The 14992-nt window shown below is 41.7% G+C and overlaps 1 pseudogene across 1 annotated transcript in view; it reads right to left on the bottom strand.

Moving 5' to 3' along the window:
* Positions 1 to 14992, bottom strand: part of LOC100130331 (POTE ankyrin domain family, member F pseudogene) — a 66147-nt pseudogene that overhangs the window by 46498 nt on the left and 4657 nt on the right. Inside the window, exon 3 of the transcript NR_027247.2 lies at positions 14649 to 14801. The product of NR_027247.2 is annotated as a POTE ankyrin domain family, member F pseudogene (transcript). The remainder of the gene's footprint in view (positions 1 to 14648; positions 14802 to 14992) is intronic.

Here is a 14992-nt window from a genome sequence, read left to right as displayed (position 1 = left end):
TGGGGATACCATCACTGACTTCTCAAGGCAAACATCCTGTTTAAGGAACTTTCTTATAACTGATGCTGCTGCTCAGCCATACTCTGGGGTACTTCCTATTCTCACTGAAATTCTGAAACTAATCCTGGTTCTATCAACTTCACCTACTTATTTTTCAGGGAATAACTGCTAAATTGACCTTTCAGCAAGGTAAAGGTGTTACACTCCTGAACAGCTGCTTTGTAGTCAAGCCAACCCTACTTCAAATTGCTAAGCAGGATGTAAACCCTGACCTTACAGGGATACGTGTGTTTCACGCAACAAACTATCCTAGAAGCTTGATGTTAACATACTTGAGCCTCATGAAAATATCACATAGTATTCATTCATCCCCAGCGTCTAGAATCTGGGAAAGATACAAATCAAATAACTTGCCCAGGGTCACTTGAGCAACAAAAGATAGATTCCAGTTCAAGTTTTAACACTAACTTGCACCCTTAACTCCCCATGGTACTGAAACTCAGTTCCTCAGAAAGACTAGTTGCCAGCGGTAGGCACAGGTGCAGCTTGACAAAGGGTTGTCTCAGGCTTATGAAAAGATAATGGCTTGGGGAGATAATGGCTATGCTACATGCAAAGGTCTGTCTGTTGACCTGTAATGAAGTCAGACATTTAGAGAAGAATAGTCTCTGACTGCAGTGGGGTAGTGTTTTGGTGTCTAGGTTAAGCAACTCAAGTATACATGTAACTTACTTGGCAATCAGATGAAACTTAACCTACTACTGAATATCATATTCAAGGTTTTGCTTTCCTATTCAATCTCTTGAATATACTTATAACAAATTTTGAATGTTAAACATTAATTGGAAATACGATGTACTTCTAGATATTAGATTGTTGGGAAAACTTATACCCAACTGTTTTCCAATAGCTGAATAGTACCTGTTTTAAACTAAAATTCTACTAACCAAACTTCAAGTGCTCAACAGCTGCTGCTGGCAGGGAGCTATTCTAGCTAGTTGCTGTATGACTCAAATCTACTCCATTAAAATGTATATTGGCTATATAAGCAGCATAGTAGGCATTGGGAATAAAGCAATGAACAGGAAGGCTTCCTCAGCAACTCTGACAAATGTCAGATGATTCAAGGAAACAAAGTTGGGTAAATGGGAGAAGGGAATTGCTAAGTCTCATCTTTTTCTATGAGGAAATAGATACGGGCATAAGTTTTTAGCCTATCCCTCTAAAACAAAGCGAGTATATAGGGTCCTCTCAAGCAACTGACCTTGACAAGTCAGGAATCGGAGTTTCCAAAAGAGGAAAGCTTTAGCAGAACCTGGCATAAAGGCCACTCGCCCCTCTAAGAGGAGGGTAGTAATACCTGTACTAACCAACGGCTACTGCAGTTAACCAAAGAAAACCCTGATACTTAAGCCTCTACCTAGGACTTGCCAGATTCTCTCTAGCAGGGTTTCTGGGACTGTTTATATTAACATGGTATGCCTTCAAAGGGAGCAAAACCTATTTCCCATATTTTACCATGAAACTTCTTTTCAGAATAAGAGTAATTCTACAGAACCTATTTCTGCAGATTTAGTTTTCCTGGTTTTCAAACAATCTATTAGAAGTTAGTCTGATCAGAGAAAATATTGCAAGGAAAGACAAAAACATCTCTGAATAGTCTCTGGCCAAAATCTAGCTTGAAGTTGAGTTTCTACTCGAGAAAAGTCAGTTAGAACCATTAACTTATAGTTTAATATAGTCTCATAGCTAAACCAGAAACTTGATTATTCCCCTCAGAGGCCCCATTAAACCTCTTTTTGGAGGCATCTGTCTAATTTTAAATAGCCTCTATCAAGTAACTCACGAAAGACTGTTACCCCAAACTTATTCACTATCCTCCAAATGGGTTTAACTTTAGTTTCTCATTTCTAGTTAAACCGATAGTTCTTTCCCTCCTGACTAAATCGTTCTGATCAATCCAGGATAATGTAATTCATCCCTGTATCTTTTTTCCTAGAGAAAAATCACTTTATTCCTTACGTGCCTCTTGCTAACTGATCTTCCAGAAAAGTGTTCTACATGTAAGTGATATGGCAACATAGCCTCCTATTTTAATATGGCGGGGTAGCTTTCCACCGCACAGCTGTCAGCCTCAGCTTCCCCTGCCATGTCTTGCCTACATACTAGCTGTGTAACAGTTCTAGCTACCCTAAATTTCTTGAGGGTAGGCACCTATTTTTGGAAGCAAATTCTTCCATTAGCCTAATGTCAGCTCCTCATCATGCTTGTCTGTGAAACTCAGAAAGGGGGCCATATGTCTGTCTCCTCTTACCTCTCTAGTTTGACACTTGTGAGTCTATAACCACAGATCCTATTAGGTCAGATTCCCTCCTCCCCTGTGTTAGCCAGGGTGTTCCTGTTCATGTATGACTCACAAGAAGGTGGGACTTTCCAAGTCAATGAAGAGACAGGCTGTGGAATGAGAAACATCTGCAAGCCATATATCTAATAAGGGATTAATGTCAAAAATGTAACTCAATAAGGAACCCAAATAAAAATGGGCAAAGGACATGAGTAGACATCTCAAAGGATATACAAATGGCCAACAGACTAGTGATGCTAAACATTCTCATTTATTAGGGAAATGCAAATTAAAACCAATGAGCTCACCTCCTGCCCATCAGAATGGCTATTATCAAAAAGGAAAGAAGTATTGGTGAGGATATAGAGAAAAGGGAACCCTTGAACCCTGTAGATGGGAATGTAAATTAGTATAGCCATCACAGAAAATGTTATGGAGGTTCTTCCAAAAAATGGAACTACCCTCATGAGCCAGCAATTCCACTAGTGTGTATGTATCCAAAGGAAGTGAAATTGGTAGGTTGACGAGATATCTGCACTCCCATAGTCATTATTAGCACTATTGACAATAGCTGAGATACTAAATCAAAGTTTCCATCAATAGATGGATGAAAGTGGTATATGTATACAATGAACTACTATTCAGTCTTAAAGGAAATCTTGTCATTTGTGACATGAACTTAGAGGAAAATGTTAAAGTAAACCAGGTATAGAAAAGTACATGATCTCACTTAAACATGTAATCTTGAATTTACAGAAGCAGAGAGTAGAATGGTTGGTTACTTGTGGTTTGCAGAGGGTAAGATGGAAAGATGTTGCTCAAAGGCTGCAAACTCAGGAATAAGTTCAGGGGATCTTTTGTACACCATGGTGACTACAGATTGGGTTCTTATGAAATAAGTGAGGTAATTCATGTTAGTATGATTCAGCCATCCTACAATATATACACATCTCAAAATGTGCTATATACAATAGTGTTAAAGCCAATTAAATTCTATAGTATATAAACAAGATCGAGAGAAGTTGGAAGTCTGCTGGTCACCAACAACTTAGGAGTTGAATTCTTGAAGCATTAAGATTCTTTTTGTCACTTTCCAGGGAAATATTTATCTTGGCTTCTTGGAAGTCTAACCTGAGAACCTAAGGAAGCTGGCAGGTGACTGGAAACAGCATCTTGACTTTACCCTCCATGTATTGAAACATTTTATTGGATCCTTATTTTGGACAAAGTTCCCTTTTATATTAGGAAATGAAGTCAGTACTCTGGTCCAACAACCAACAACATGGAACTTGTTTACATGGTCTGGTAACAAGAATAATGGTAGGAAACCAGAAGTTGAAGCTGATGTTATAGCAGCCGTTTGGAAAGAAGCCTATTCTAACAATGTCACGTTCCCTGCCACTCCCATCTTCACTCAGAATATTCAGATCAGAAGAGCCAGATACAGACACAGAGATGTAATCTCTGTGAACTCAACTTTCTCACCTCTGAAATAGAAAACTATCAATTGTTTCTAGCTGTCTGGCTCTAAATTTTTGGTTCTTAGAACCTTCTTAATCCCCTTCAGTTTTTTTCCACGGGTCTTGATTTGCAGCTGTCCTTTGGAAACTCTACTCCCATGATTTCTTGCTCGGTTTTCATGCTGTGAACGGACAATATGCTTTTGTGTCTTACACCACAGCACGTTTCTGCCCTCTAAGGGCTAAATGTCAGCTACTGTTTAATAAAGGTTTGATTAAGCCTTACTGCAACATTTGCAAGCCAGAGGGAGCAGAGATTGGATAGCTGTGCCACTTAATTGCCTCTTTCTACATTTTCCAAGAAGTACTGCTTTTTAACCCTTGCTAATGTGAAAGACACTGTGGTAGACATTGCCACAGGGAAGCCACCTTCCCCGATACCTCCAAGTACCTTGGCCATGACAAGAAATGGCCAAATCAAGTGAAATTTCTCATTTCAAGCACAGTGGTTGGGAAGGATACTTCCATGAAGCTAGGCTGTTTTTGTTTTAAAGGTGGTGGAATAATAGGCTCCGATGATACTGGATAAAATAAGTTGTACCTGGCCGGATGCGGTGGCTCACGCCTGTAATCCCAGCACTTTGGGAGGCTGAAGCAGATGGATCACGAGGTCAGGAGCTCAAGAGCATCCTGGCCAACATGGTGAAACCCCGTCTCTACTAAAATACAAAAAAAATTAGCCAGGCATGGTGGCAGGCACCTGTAGTCCCTGCTACTTGGGAAGCTGAGACAGGGGAATCGCTTGAACCCAGGAGGCGGAGGTTGCAGTGAGCCGAGATCGTGCCACCGCACTCCAGCCTGCTGACAGAGCAAGACTCTGTCTCAAGGAAAAAAGTTATACCCACCAAATTGTCTTTTAATCTAAATATTAGAATAAGGGGCTGAATTATATTTATTCCATGTTTACCAATTGTTATGTGACTCATCGGTTAATTTATCTGGTCTTTGTTTTGTGACGCTAGAATACCTCAGACTAGGTTGTTTATAATGGACAGAATTTATAGAGTCCCAGTTGTGGAGGCTGGGAAGTCCTAAATCAAGATGTCAGCATCTGGTGAGGGCTGCCTTGCTGTGGAGACAGTAAGAAGTGGCCAAAGTTGCCCTTTTATAATGGTACCAACCCCACCCATGAGGGTGATGCTCTCATGGCCTAATGACCTCTTAATGGTCCTACCTCTTAATACTGTTACAATGGCTCTTTTGTTTTTTCTTTTCTTTTCTTTTCTTTTCTTTTCTTTTCTTTTCTTTTTTTTTTTTTTTGAGACAGCCTTGCTCTATCACACAGGCTGCAGTGTGGTGGCATGATCTCAGCTTACTGCAAACTTCGCCTCTCAGGTTCAAGCACTCCTCCCCCCTCAGCCTCTCAAGTAGCTGAGATTGCAAGTGTGTACCTCCACACTCAGCTAATTTTTGTATTTTTAGTACAGGTGGGATTTCATCATGTTGGCCAGGCTGGTCTGGAACTCCTGACCTCAGGTGATCTACCTGCCTCGGCCTCCCAAAGTGCTAGGATCACAGGTGTGAGCCACGGTGCCCGGCCCAGCCTGGCAATTAAATTTCAACAGGAGTTTTGGAAGGCACAAGCATTCAAACTGTTATATCCCCTCGTCAGTCTATAAGCAGTCCTCTCAGAACATTAAATTTATCTTATGTGTGTCAAAAACACCTAGAAGATTATTTTCAAAGAAAATAAGGGGGAAAAGTTTGGAAATGTTTATGGAAGGATACAAAATTTCAGCTACAAAGAATAAGTTAAAGAATTTTACAACATGGTGACTGTAGTTAATAACAATGTATTCTTGAAAATTGCTAAGAGTACATTGTGTTATCACTACAAAAAAATAAGAGGTAATGTATGTGTTAGCTAGCTCAACTTTGCTATTCCACAACATATACATCTCAAAACATTGGCAGGGTGCAGTGGCTCACGCCTGTAACCCCAGCACTTTGGGAGGCTGAGGCAGGTGGATCACTTGACGTCAGGAGTTTGAGACCAGCCTGGCCAACATGATGAAACTCCATCTCTACTAAAATAAACTTTTAGCTGGTCGTGGTGGTGCATGCCTGTAATCCCAGCTACTCGAGAGGCTGAGGCAGGAGAATCACTTGAACTCGAGGGGCAGAGGTTGCAGTGAGCCAAGATCATGCCACTGCACTCCAGCCTGGGTGACAGAGTGAGACTGTCAAAAACAAAAAATGGACATGATCAATACAAATACTTGTCAATTAAAATATGCTTTTAAAAATGTTAAAGCAGAAAAGATGTTTCCACTGGCCACCCTTCCCTCACAGAGGGGAGGCGAACGCCCCTGACGCAGTCCTGAGACAGGCAAGGTGGGATTGTTGAGAAAGCTGGTTTTGTTGCCAGTCACCTTCACGGAAGGCTCTGCTACCCAGACCTTATGAAGTCAGACTTTCCTCCTAAAAATGCTGCTGTCCTTGTTTAGGGCAAAGGGCCTGGCACAGAGCAGGAGCTCAGAACATTTGCTGAGTGAATCATAGCAAACCATGACATAATTTAACCCGATTTAAAGGAGTCTAGAAAGTTGCCAGAGAATGGCTGGATTTTAAGCAGTTCGTATTTGTTCCCTAATGTAGCAATATGTGACCAGAGAGGCCGCTTCGGGCCAGCAGGTTACCCATCTCTGTCAGTAACCTCTTTGCACCCTAGCTCCTGTGTCTCCAGGATGGGACCCTTGGCTCATAGAAATGAAAAGCTTTGTGATAACAAAAAATCACAAATCCAGTTGCAGCTATACTTAGCCTTTGTTTCTCATAATTTTTGAAATGGCTTTGAGATATAATTCACATTCCATACAATTCACCCATTGAAAGTATACAGTTCAGTGGTCTTTAGTATATTCATAGAGTTCTGCAACCATCACCACACCAAAAGACACCCTGTACCCATTATAAGTCACTTACTAGTCCCTCCTTTCTCCAGCCCACGGCAACCACTAATTCATCTCTATAAATTTGCCTGTTCTGGATGTTTCATATAAATGAAATTGACATGTAGCTTTTTGTGATTAGCTTCTTTTACTTAGCATGTTTTCAAGCTATATCCATGTTGCAGCAAAACTCAGCAATTCCTTTTTATGGTTGAATATCTACTTTTCCATTTTGTTTATCCATTTACAAGATGAAGGACAGTTGGGTTGTTCCCACCTACAGGTTGTTGGGAATCCTGCTGCTATGAACATTCATGTATAAGTTTTTGTGTGAACATATGTTTTTATTTCTCCTTGGTATGTACCTAAAAATAGATCTGGGCCATAAGGCAAGTCTATGTTTAACATTTTGAGGAACTTCATAACTGTTTTCCAAAGTGGCTCTGCCGTTTTCTATTCTCACCAGTAATATATGAGGGTTCCAATTTTTCTACATCCTTGCCAATACTTGTATCTGTCTTTTGTCTCATTGCAAATTAGTATTTATATACTATCTTTAAATATTAAAAAGGAATAAAGCCAATAAAAGGGCCCATAATTTTACCTACAAAAAAACTGCCAATGACCAAATTAGGAAAAAATCAAGCCATAGAAAAACATGAAAAGAAATCCCATTCCCCACTCCCAGTTCCTCTCCCCCAAGGTAACTGCTGCTCAATTTCTTGTATGTCCAGAAACAAGCTTCATGTGTGTTTACCCTTTAGTTTACACAAAAGTAACTCCATTCATATTCCCCTGCACAGAGATGTCACTGTTGGTTTTACACACACACACACACACACACACACACACACACACACACACACACACAGTATCTGTCTCTTGTTCAGGAAACCTGTAGCCTACAAAGAATAAGGACATGTTAGCTAAGGATGAAGAAGATGCCCTGCAGGAGTCCTGAGCAGTATATGTTCCTTTGTGTCCTCTCACAGGGCCTAGTAAAGTATATATGGGAAAACCACTTTTATAAAATGACTTTGTTTTGAACACAGTGGGAAGAAATAGTGTATGTCGGCCTTTTTGCAAAGCCCTATAGTAAACACTAGGGGATGGGGAGGGCTGAACTCGTGGTAAAGGGTGCTTTGAGGCCCTTGCATCATGCTGCATTTTGCCATTAGATCAGGCTCCAGGGTCTTGATCGTGCTCTGTGTGCTGTCTTCCCTGTCTCCTTCAAAAGGTTGCTTACCTGCAAGCATGCTGTTCCTGGCATTTGCTGTTGCCCAGGAAGCTACAGAGAGGTGATGGGAAGGTGCCTATGAATAAGTCCATTCATAATGAGGGCCAGGGAAGCAGCTCTCTGTCAAAGTCACAAATTCCATGAGTCAACCCTTTTTGCAATTACCATGCAGACAGTCTTAACACAATCTCTTTGAGTGACTTTTGTAAGATGACACCAAAGCCCTGAGACACCTCAGGGATGACTCAGTGCCCTTGACTCGGGGCCAGTCAACTTGATGTTCTGTGTTTCCTGTGATTAAGTCCTTTCCTTATTTCACCCCATTGCCTTTACATTGTAAGGTTTCCCAGATTGACATTTTAGGCCTTTTGTACAAAATTTAACCTCTGGTACCTCAGGAGTTGTCGTCTTTGGCCACAAAAGAAAAAATCTTGAAAACTTTAATAATTGAAATGTGGTAGCACAATGAGAGAACTTCCCCAGTGATGGTCTGATGAAAAAATATACCCGAAAATATTAATGGAAAAGTGCGCGGAGCACAAAGCCAGCGTTATTTAAATATTAGGATTGTGATAAATATTTATTTCATGTTAATGTACTGGGTAAAATGAAAAACAATGAGGTGCAGAATTAATCATGAGTCTAGCGTGGTGAGCTTATCTAAGCGAAAGGTTATTCTGTAAAACAGATGGTGTTAAAAGGAAAAGATTAATTTCTGCATTTTAACCCCTAAACTGTTGAGAAAGCATAAAATAATTACCGTTTTTTAGTATGTACACCATGCCAGACGCTCTTTAGGCAATTTCCATGGATTATTTTATGTGATGCTCATAAATAACCCACAAAGTAGGTAACATTACTATCCCACTTTTAAAAAATGAGATTTGAGGGTTTTTTTTTTTTTTAACATTGATGCTAGATAGAGGAACGTGGTTTTTATAAGAAACATTCAATAAATATTCCATACATAGTGAGTAAATGACTGTTATTGATGGACTATCCCAGTCCTGTGCAGGCTGACCTTGGCAACACCCCCAGTTCTACAAGTCTGAGAAATGACAGAGAAGCAATTTAAATCCCCGATTTTCCAGGACATCACATACATCTCCTCTCCAGATTTCATTTATCTGTTTGCTCTATGACTTCCTGCCTTCTACAGAGCCCAGGAACCTGAGGGCACTAGTAGATCCACTCAGGAATCCCAGTTTGGATTTGAGTTTTTCTGATTCTGTGCCCTTTCCATGGTAGCACCTGCCTCCATTCTTTTCCATTCTAGTAGCTCTCTTGATTTTCTCCACTTTGAGTTGGAAATGTCAAACACAGTGTTCCATTTAACTCCCTCGGCTTTGTATCTCTTTTTATAGGTCCTCGCACAGGATAGGTCCACAGGAGGAAGCTGGTGGCCTTGGCATCTCAGCACCCCTGGAAGCTCAGCAGGAGAGGTTTTGCCTTTCAGCCACTCTGTGGCCCAGTGTGCTTGGGTAACTGTCTCTGCCGCCTCATCTGTGTAAACTGGGATAGTCCAACAACCTGTGGGGTAAGTCACTAATGTGACATATTATTTTGACTTTTACCTTATTACAGTTCAGCTTCTACTAAGACTTTGGGAATTTGGATTTGAGCAATTTGTCTCAAAAATAGCTCTTCTGTCACATATCAGTCCCAAGCCAGACCTTCAAGACCCTCCACCAGCTGCCCTATAACTACCTTCATCTAACTGCTCCTTGTCTTTCCTGGCCCCTGAGTCTTCAGCTGCCCCCTTTAGGTTAGAACACCTGCCCCTAGATCCCAGCCATGTGGGTTATCCGGCCAATGGCCCCAGCAAGTTCCCTAGCAGCCAGCCAGCATCACCACCTAGACACATGCCAAGACAGTTGTTAAATGGAACACTGCATTTAGGTCACTAGCTGGGAACTTCATAGCCACTCCCTTCCCCACCTGGAGCACATGACTTCTCTCTTCCTGCAACCCCTTTTCAAAATGTACTCTTCCCATAAAGCTTCATAGTATACTTTGGGATATTGGAACAATCAAATTACATCAATACATAGAAAAGAATTGTGAGGTTTAAGTATGATACATTTAATGAGCTTAGCACAGTACTTGGCACACAAAGTGCAACCAACCAGAGTTCTCCATATTGTCATCCTCACTGGTGTTACCATCATTCTTATCACCAACGGATGCTTATTAAATACATACTTATTTGCCGTGCAGAACTTAAAGTTGTAACCCACAAAATGAGCAAAATTGATGAGCTATCTAGGACTGACCCCACCCCTCCTTTCTTGAAGAAGCATCGTTTAATCAGGTAGCCACTCCACCCCGTATATCTGTGTTCATAGGTGATGCTGACCCCACCCCAGTTCTGGGAGGAGGCCTCTTTTGTCTGAGAGGAATCCCATCCCTCTTATTACTAGCTGGTTCTGGAGTGAGTGCGTGAGTACCCCAGCTCTGAGGCTGGAGAATTCCTGCAGAGGGAATTTGGAAAAATCTCCTCACTCCTAAGAGCTATTAAGAATCTTCTCTCAGCTGGGGATGGTGGTTCACGCCTGTAATCCTAGCACTTTGGGGGACCAAGGTGGGCAGATCACTTGAGGTCAGGAGTTCTAAACCAGCCTGGCTAACATGGTGAAACCCCGTCTCTACTAAAAATACAAAAAAAATTAGCTGGGCATGGTTGCGGGCACCTGTGATCCCAGCTACTCGAGAGGCTGAGGCAGGAGAATCACTTGAACCTAGGAGGTGGAGGTTGCAGTGAGCTGAGATCACGCCATTGCACTTCAGCCTCAGCAACAAGAGTAAAATTTCACCTCAAAAAAAAAGTACTCTCTCTTCTGGCCTGAGTATGGGATAGACTTAGTGACTGGCTTCTAACTAACAAGCATGCTGCAAATAGTCGGGGGTTAATGCTGAGGCTAGATCAGAAAAAGCATATGGCTTCCATCTGGCACTCACTCATTCTCTCTTTTTACACCTGCCCCTGGGTCCCAGCCACATGCTGTAAAGTGGTCCCAGCTAGTCTTGTAGCAGCCAGACAGCATTACCACCTAGCTATGTAAGAGAACGTACCTAGACATATGAGAGAATGTACCTCTAATGAATCCAGGTCCCAGATACTTCGGGATAGAGATAAGCTGTTTCTACAGCATCCTGTCTGAATTCCCAATCTGCAGAACTTGTGATAGATGATAAACAATTATTGTTTTAAGCAACTAAGCTTGGGGGTACTTTGTTGCACAGCAGCAGATAACAAATGCACCAATATATCACAGACATCTCCACATTAACGATGTAAATCTGCATCATCATTAAATGGTGTGGCCAACTGACATTAGCCAATCTGGCCATGTATATGCCTTAAGTTCACTTTGGTAGAGATTGGTAGCTACAGAAAATTTTGAGATCATGAGAGTCAGCTATTCCCCTCACGAATGAAAACAAGGTCAAATTCACACACACACACGCACGCACACACACACAAAGAGAAAGGATCACAAAAATAGTCATGTCATCTATTTCATGAGCTGGGGGAAAGCCCAACTCTAGGTCTTTTGCCATCGTGCAGAAAAGCTTCACGTAGCCAATGCGGAATATCATAGAATTTGGTCAGTCTGGGCACCAGGAAAGCGAATCCAGACCCAACTGGAGTGCTGTCTAAAGGTGAACCTGAGTCTAAACTGGCCCCTGGATTTTGGGATGGAATCTCAAGTGTCATCATAGGCCACAGGCCTTGCTCCATTCTTATGTTCTTTTTCAGGCAAATATAGGGTTTCAAATAGTTCATTAGACCCAATCTTCAATATAACTGATTTTGCCAATAAAGACCATTCTTAACAATCACTCCAGCCATTAGCAAAGCCTCCACGTTTGATGAAGAGGTGGGAAAGAGGAGGATCTTGACAGTGGTCACACTGGGTGAGAGCTTCCTGATGACAATGTTAGCTGACCATTCCTACGGGTTTTAATTTCAAAGGGAGCCAATGGCTATACTTAGGAATAACTTAACACACCATATATGATGAAATATTTTAAAACAAATATAGATATCCTTACAAACAGCTACATGGCATTCCATTGTATGGCTATACCAGTCTTTATTGTGCTGTCTTCACTTGGTAAACATTTATATCATGGCCAGTCTTTACAGTATTATAAACAATGTAGGGATGAACACCCTTATACAGACACTTTTATGTACTGTACTTGTTATTCCTTGAGATAAATTCCTTCAAGTGAAATTGCTGGGTCAAATGACATGTATATTGCCCAGTTTCTCAAAATGTAATACAGCAGTATATGAGAGAGTTAGGTGAAGTTTTCAAAAGAAGCTGTACTTCAAAACTAAAGGCAAAGGAAACCGAAAGGAAGCCCCAAAGAGGAAAAGTGAAAAGATCATCATCCAAAAGACCACTAGTGTGGCTGAACAGCAGAATGGTGAACTGTGTTTGTGGTATCAGTTTGCAGTACCAGAAGAGACTGTCTCTGGCATGTACTGAAGGTGATTTCTCTTTGAAGAGGGAAGAGCAGGTTGGCTTTTATGCCTCACGGGGTCCATATTACACAGTAGAATCATACATAGATTTGGGGGAAAGCTATACATATTTATGAGGGGAGTCTTGTGTATGCACAATGGGTAAACACACATGTAACAGAGAGCTCAGTTTACTTTGGGGCAGGGTTTTAGATTAAAATGAGGTAGAATTTGGCTCTACATCAAAAGGTGAACTATAGAACACAAAGACACTTTGTGCGCTGTCTCTAGATCTGGCTGGAACTGACTTCAGGTCTGCAGTTGCTTATCAGGAAAGAATGTTTGCAAGATGGTCCTCTATCCAATCAGAGTTGTACGAGTCTGGATTGTAAAGCAGAGTTAGGAAGTGTCTGACAATTTTCCTGATAGCTCCTACTGTTAGGGAGTTTAGCAAAAGTGTGTTTTTTCTTGTAGCCATAGGAATTTAGGAAGTTGCCATGCCAGTCTAGCCCTGAGACCTCAACCTGTAGGTAACTTTCATTTCCTTAACCTCAGGATCTGTCTTCGTTAACAAAGGGTCATCTATTTTGGTGTCTCAGATCACAGAAGTCAAAGGGGTTTCAGACTCCCAATTTATTTATTTATTTTTTATTATTATACTTTAAGTTCTGGGGTACATGTGCACAACGTGCAGGTTTGTTAATAGGTATACATGGGCCATGTTGGTTTGCTGCACCCATCAACTCATCATTTACATTAGTTATTTCTCCTAATGCTATCCCTCCCCAAGCCTTCCACCCCTGACAGGCCCAGGTGTGTGATGTTCCCCTCCCTGTGTCCATGTGTTCTCATTGTTCAACTCCCACTTAAGAGTGAGAACATGCGGTGTTTGGGTTTCTGTTCCTGTGTTAGTTTGCTGAGAATGATGGTTTCCAGCTTCATCCATGTCCTTGCAAAGAACATAAACTCATCTTTTTCTACGGATGCATAGTATTCCATGGTGTATATGTGGCACATTTTCTTTATCCAGTCTATCATTGATGGGCATTTGGGTTGGTTCCAAGACTTTGCTATTGTGAACAGTGCTGCAGTAAACATGTGTGTGCATGTGTGGAAGACAGTGTGGCGACTCCTCAAGGATCTAGAATTAGAAATACTATTTGACCCAGCAATCCCATTACTGGGTATATACCCAAAGGATTATAAATCCCAATTTCTACATGTAAGTTGGTTTCCTTCCCTGGTTTCACTAGAATTCCCTGACACCCCACCCCTATCGCCCACCCAGTCCATCTCAGTTCCTGGAGGGACCAGGTATAGGGTCCTATGGCTAATTAGTGGAATCATTTAGAATTAGGGCTTTCCCTTTGAAAGCCCCACACTTCTATTATTTCCTCCCCTTTTGTCCTCAAGGAGGAGTGGGAATTAATATCAGGCTTTTCTCCATCCTTAGGTAAAGGGGCCAACACAGTTCCTTGAGGGGAAATTAGCACAACAGGAGAAGACACAAGCCCTGCACTCCCAGGACTAGACTCCCAGCCAAAGAGGGATGAGCCCCAATCAGTCAGGACTCCTGGGAAGAAAACAGTTTAGGTTCAGACAAGAACAATCCAGTTCCAAGTTTTCAATGGAGGAAAAAGATTATACCCCTAAATCACCAATTAAATCTTCTTTGCATGACTGAGATCCATTTACATAAATTTCCCCCCACTTTAAAACAAAGGAAGAACAAACTTCCAGCTAGGAAAGAACACACAGGATTTGAAAAGCCAGCCGTCTCAGGTTACCTCAAGGCAGGATCTGGTACAAAGGGATAAGAGTGAAATCCTTTAGCCCCAACTGTCTGAGTTCCTAGGGGGAAAATGCTTGTTTTATTCACTGTCCTATTTTAAACTGCTGGCCAACTACAACACTGGTTGAATTCATTTCCACTGAGAAAAGGAGAGAGAAGAATGCTGGTAGTGCCAAGCAGCTCCTAGACAGGATGGACAGATGGACAAGGACAGGACCAGAATGTTTTCTCATCTCTGCATCCTTAGTTTCCAGTGCAGGTCTGACTGGTGTCTCATAATCAATAGACATTTATCATTGAATGAATGAATGCTTGATAAGCCTCCATCATAGTACTTATCTTTAGCAGCAATTTACCCCAGGTCTTCCTCCCCACTAGACTACCAGCTACCTGATAGAAATGGTAGTCACAGTCTCTTCTGTGTCTCTTAGCAGAGCTCCTGATACAGCAGATGCTTCAGGAAGCTTTGCTTGATGAAAGAGTAGATGGCACAAGGAGAAAGTTCATCATCAGAGGTCCAGTTCCCAGTGGAGAGCAGGCAGCCTTTAATCAAAATTACATATAAATTGTTTCAGCATTCACACATACTGTAAGAAGCCCTCCCCCTGCCACTACCAGCCCCCCAGCAAAGAGGAAGGTAAGCAGCCTCCTTAAGGCTGATGCCATCTTCAAAACTCAGGAGTGGACTCAAGTCACCTCCTGACTTATTAGACAGGTCCAGGCCCAGATGAGTG

The sequence above is a fragment of the Homo sapiens genome, chromosome 1 (assembly GCF_000001405.40).
Source record: "Homo sapiens chromosome 1, GRCh38.p14 Primary Assembly".
Classification (NCBI taxonomy): Eukaryota; Metazoa; Chordata; class Mammalia; order Primates; family Hominidae; genus Homo; species Homo sapiens.
Note: the sequence above shows the minus strand (reverse complement) of the source record. Positions and strands in the feature narration are given on the sequence as shown.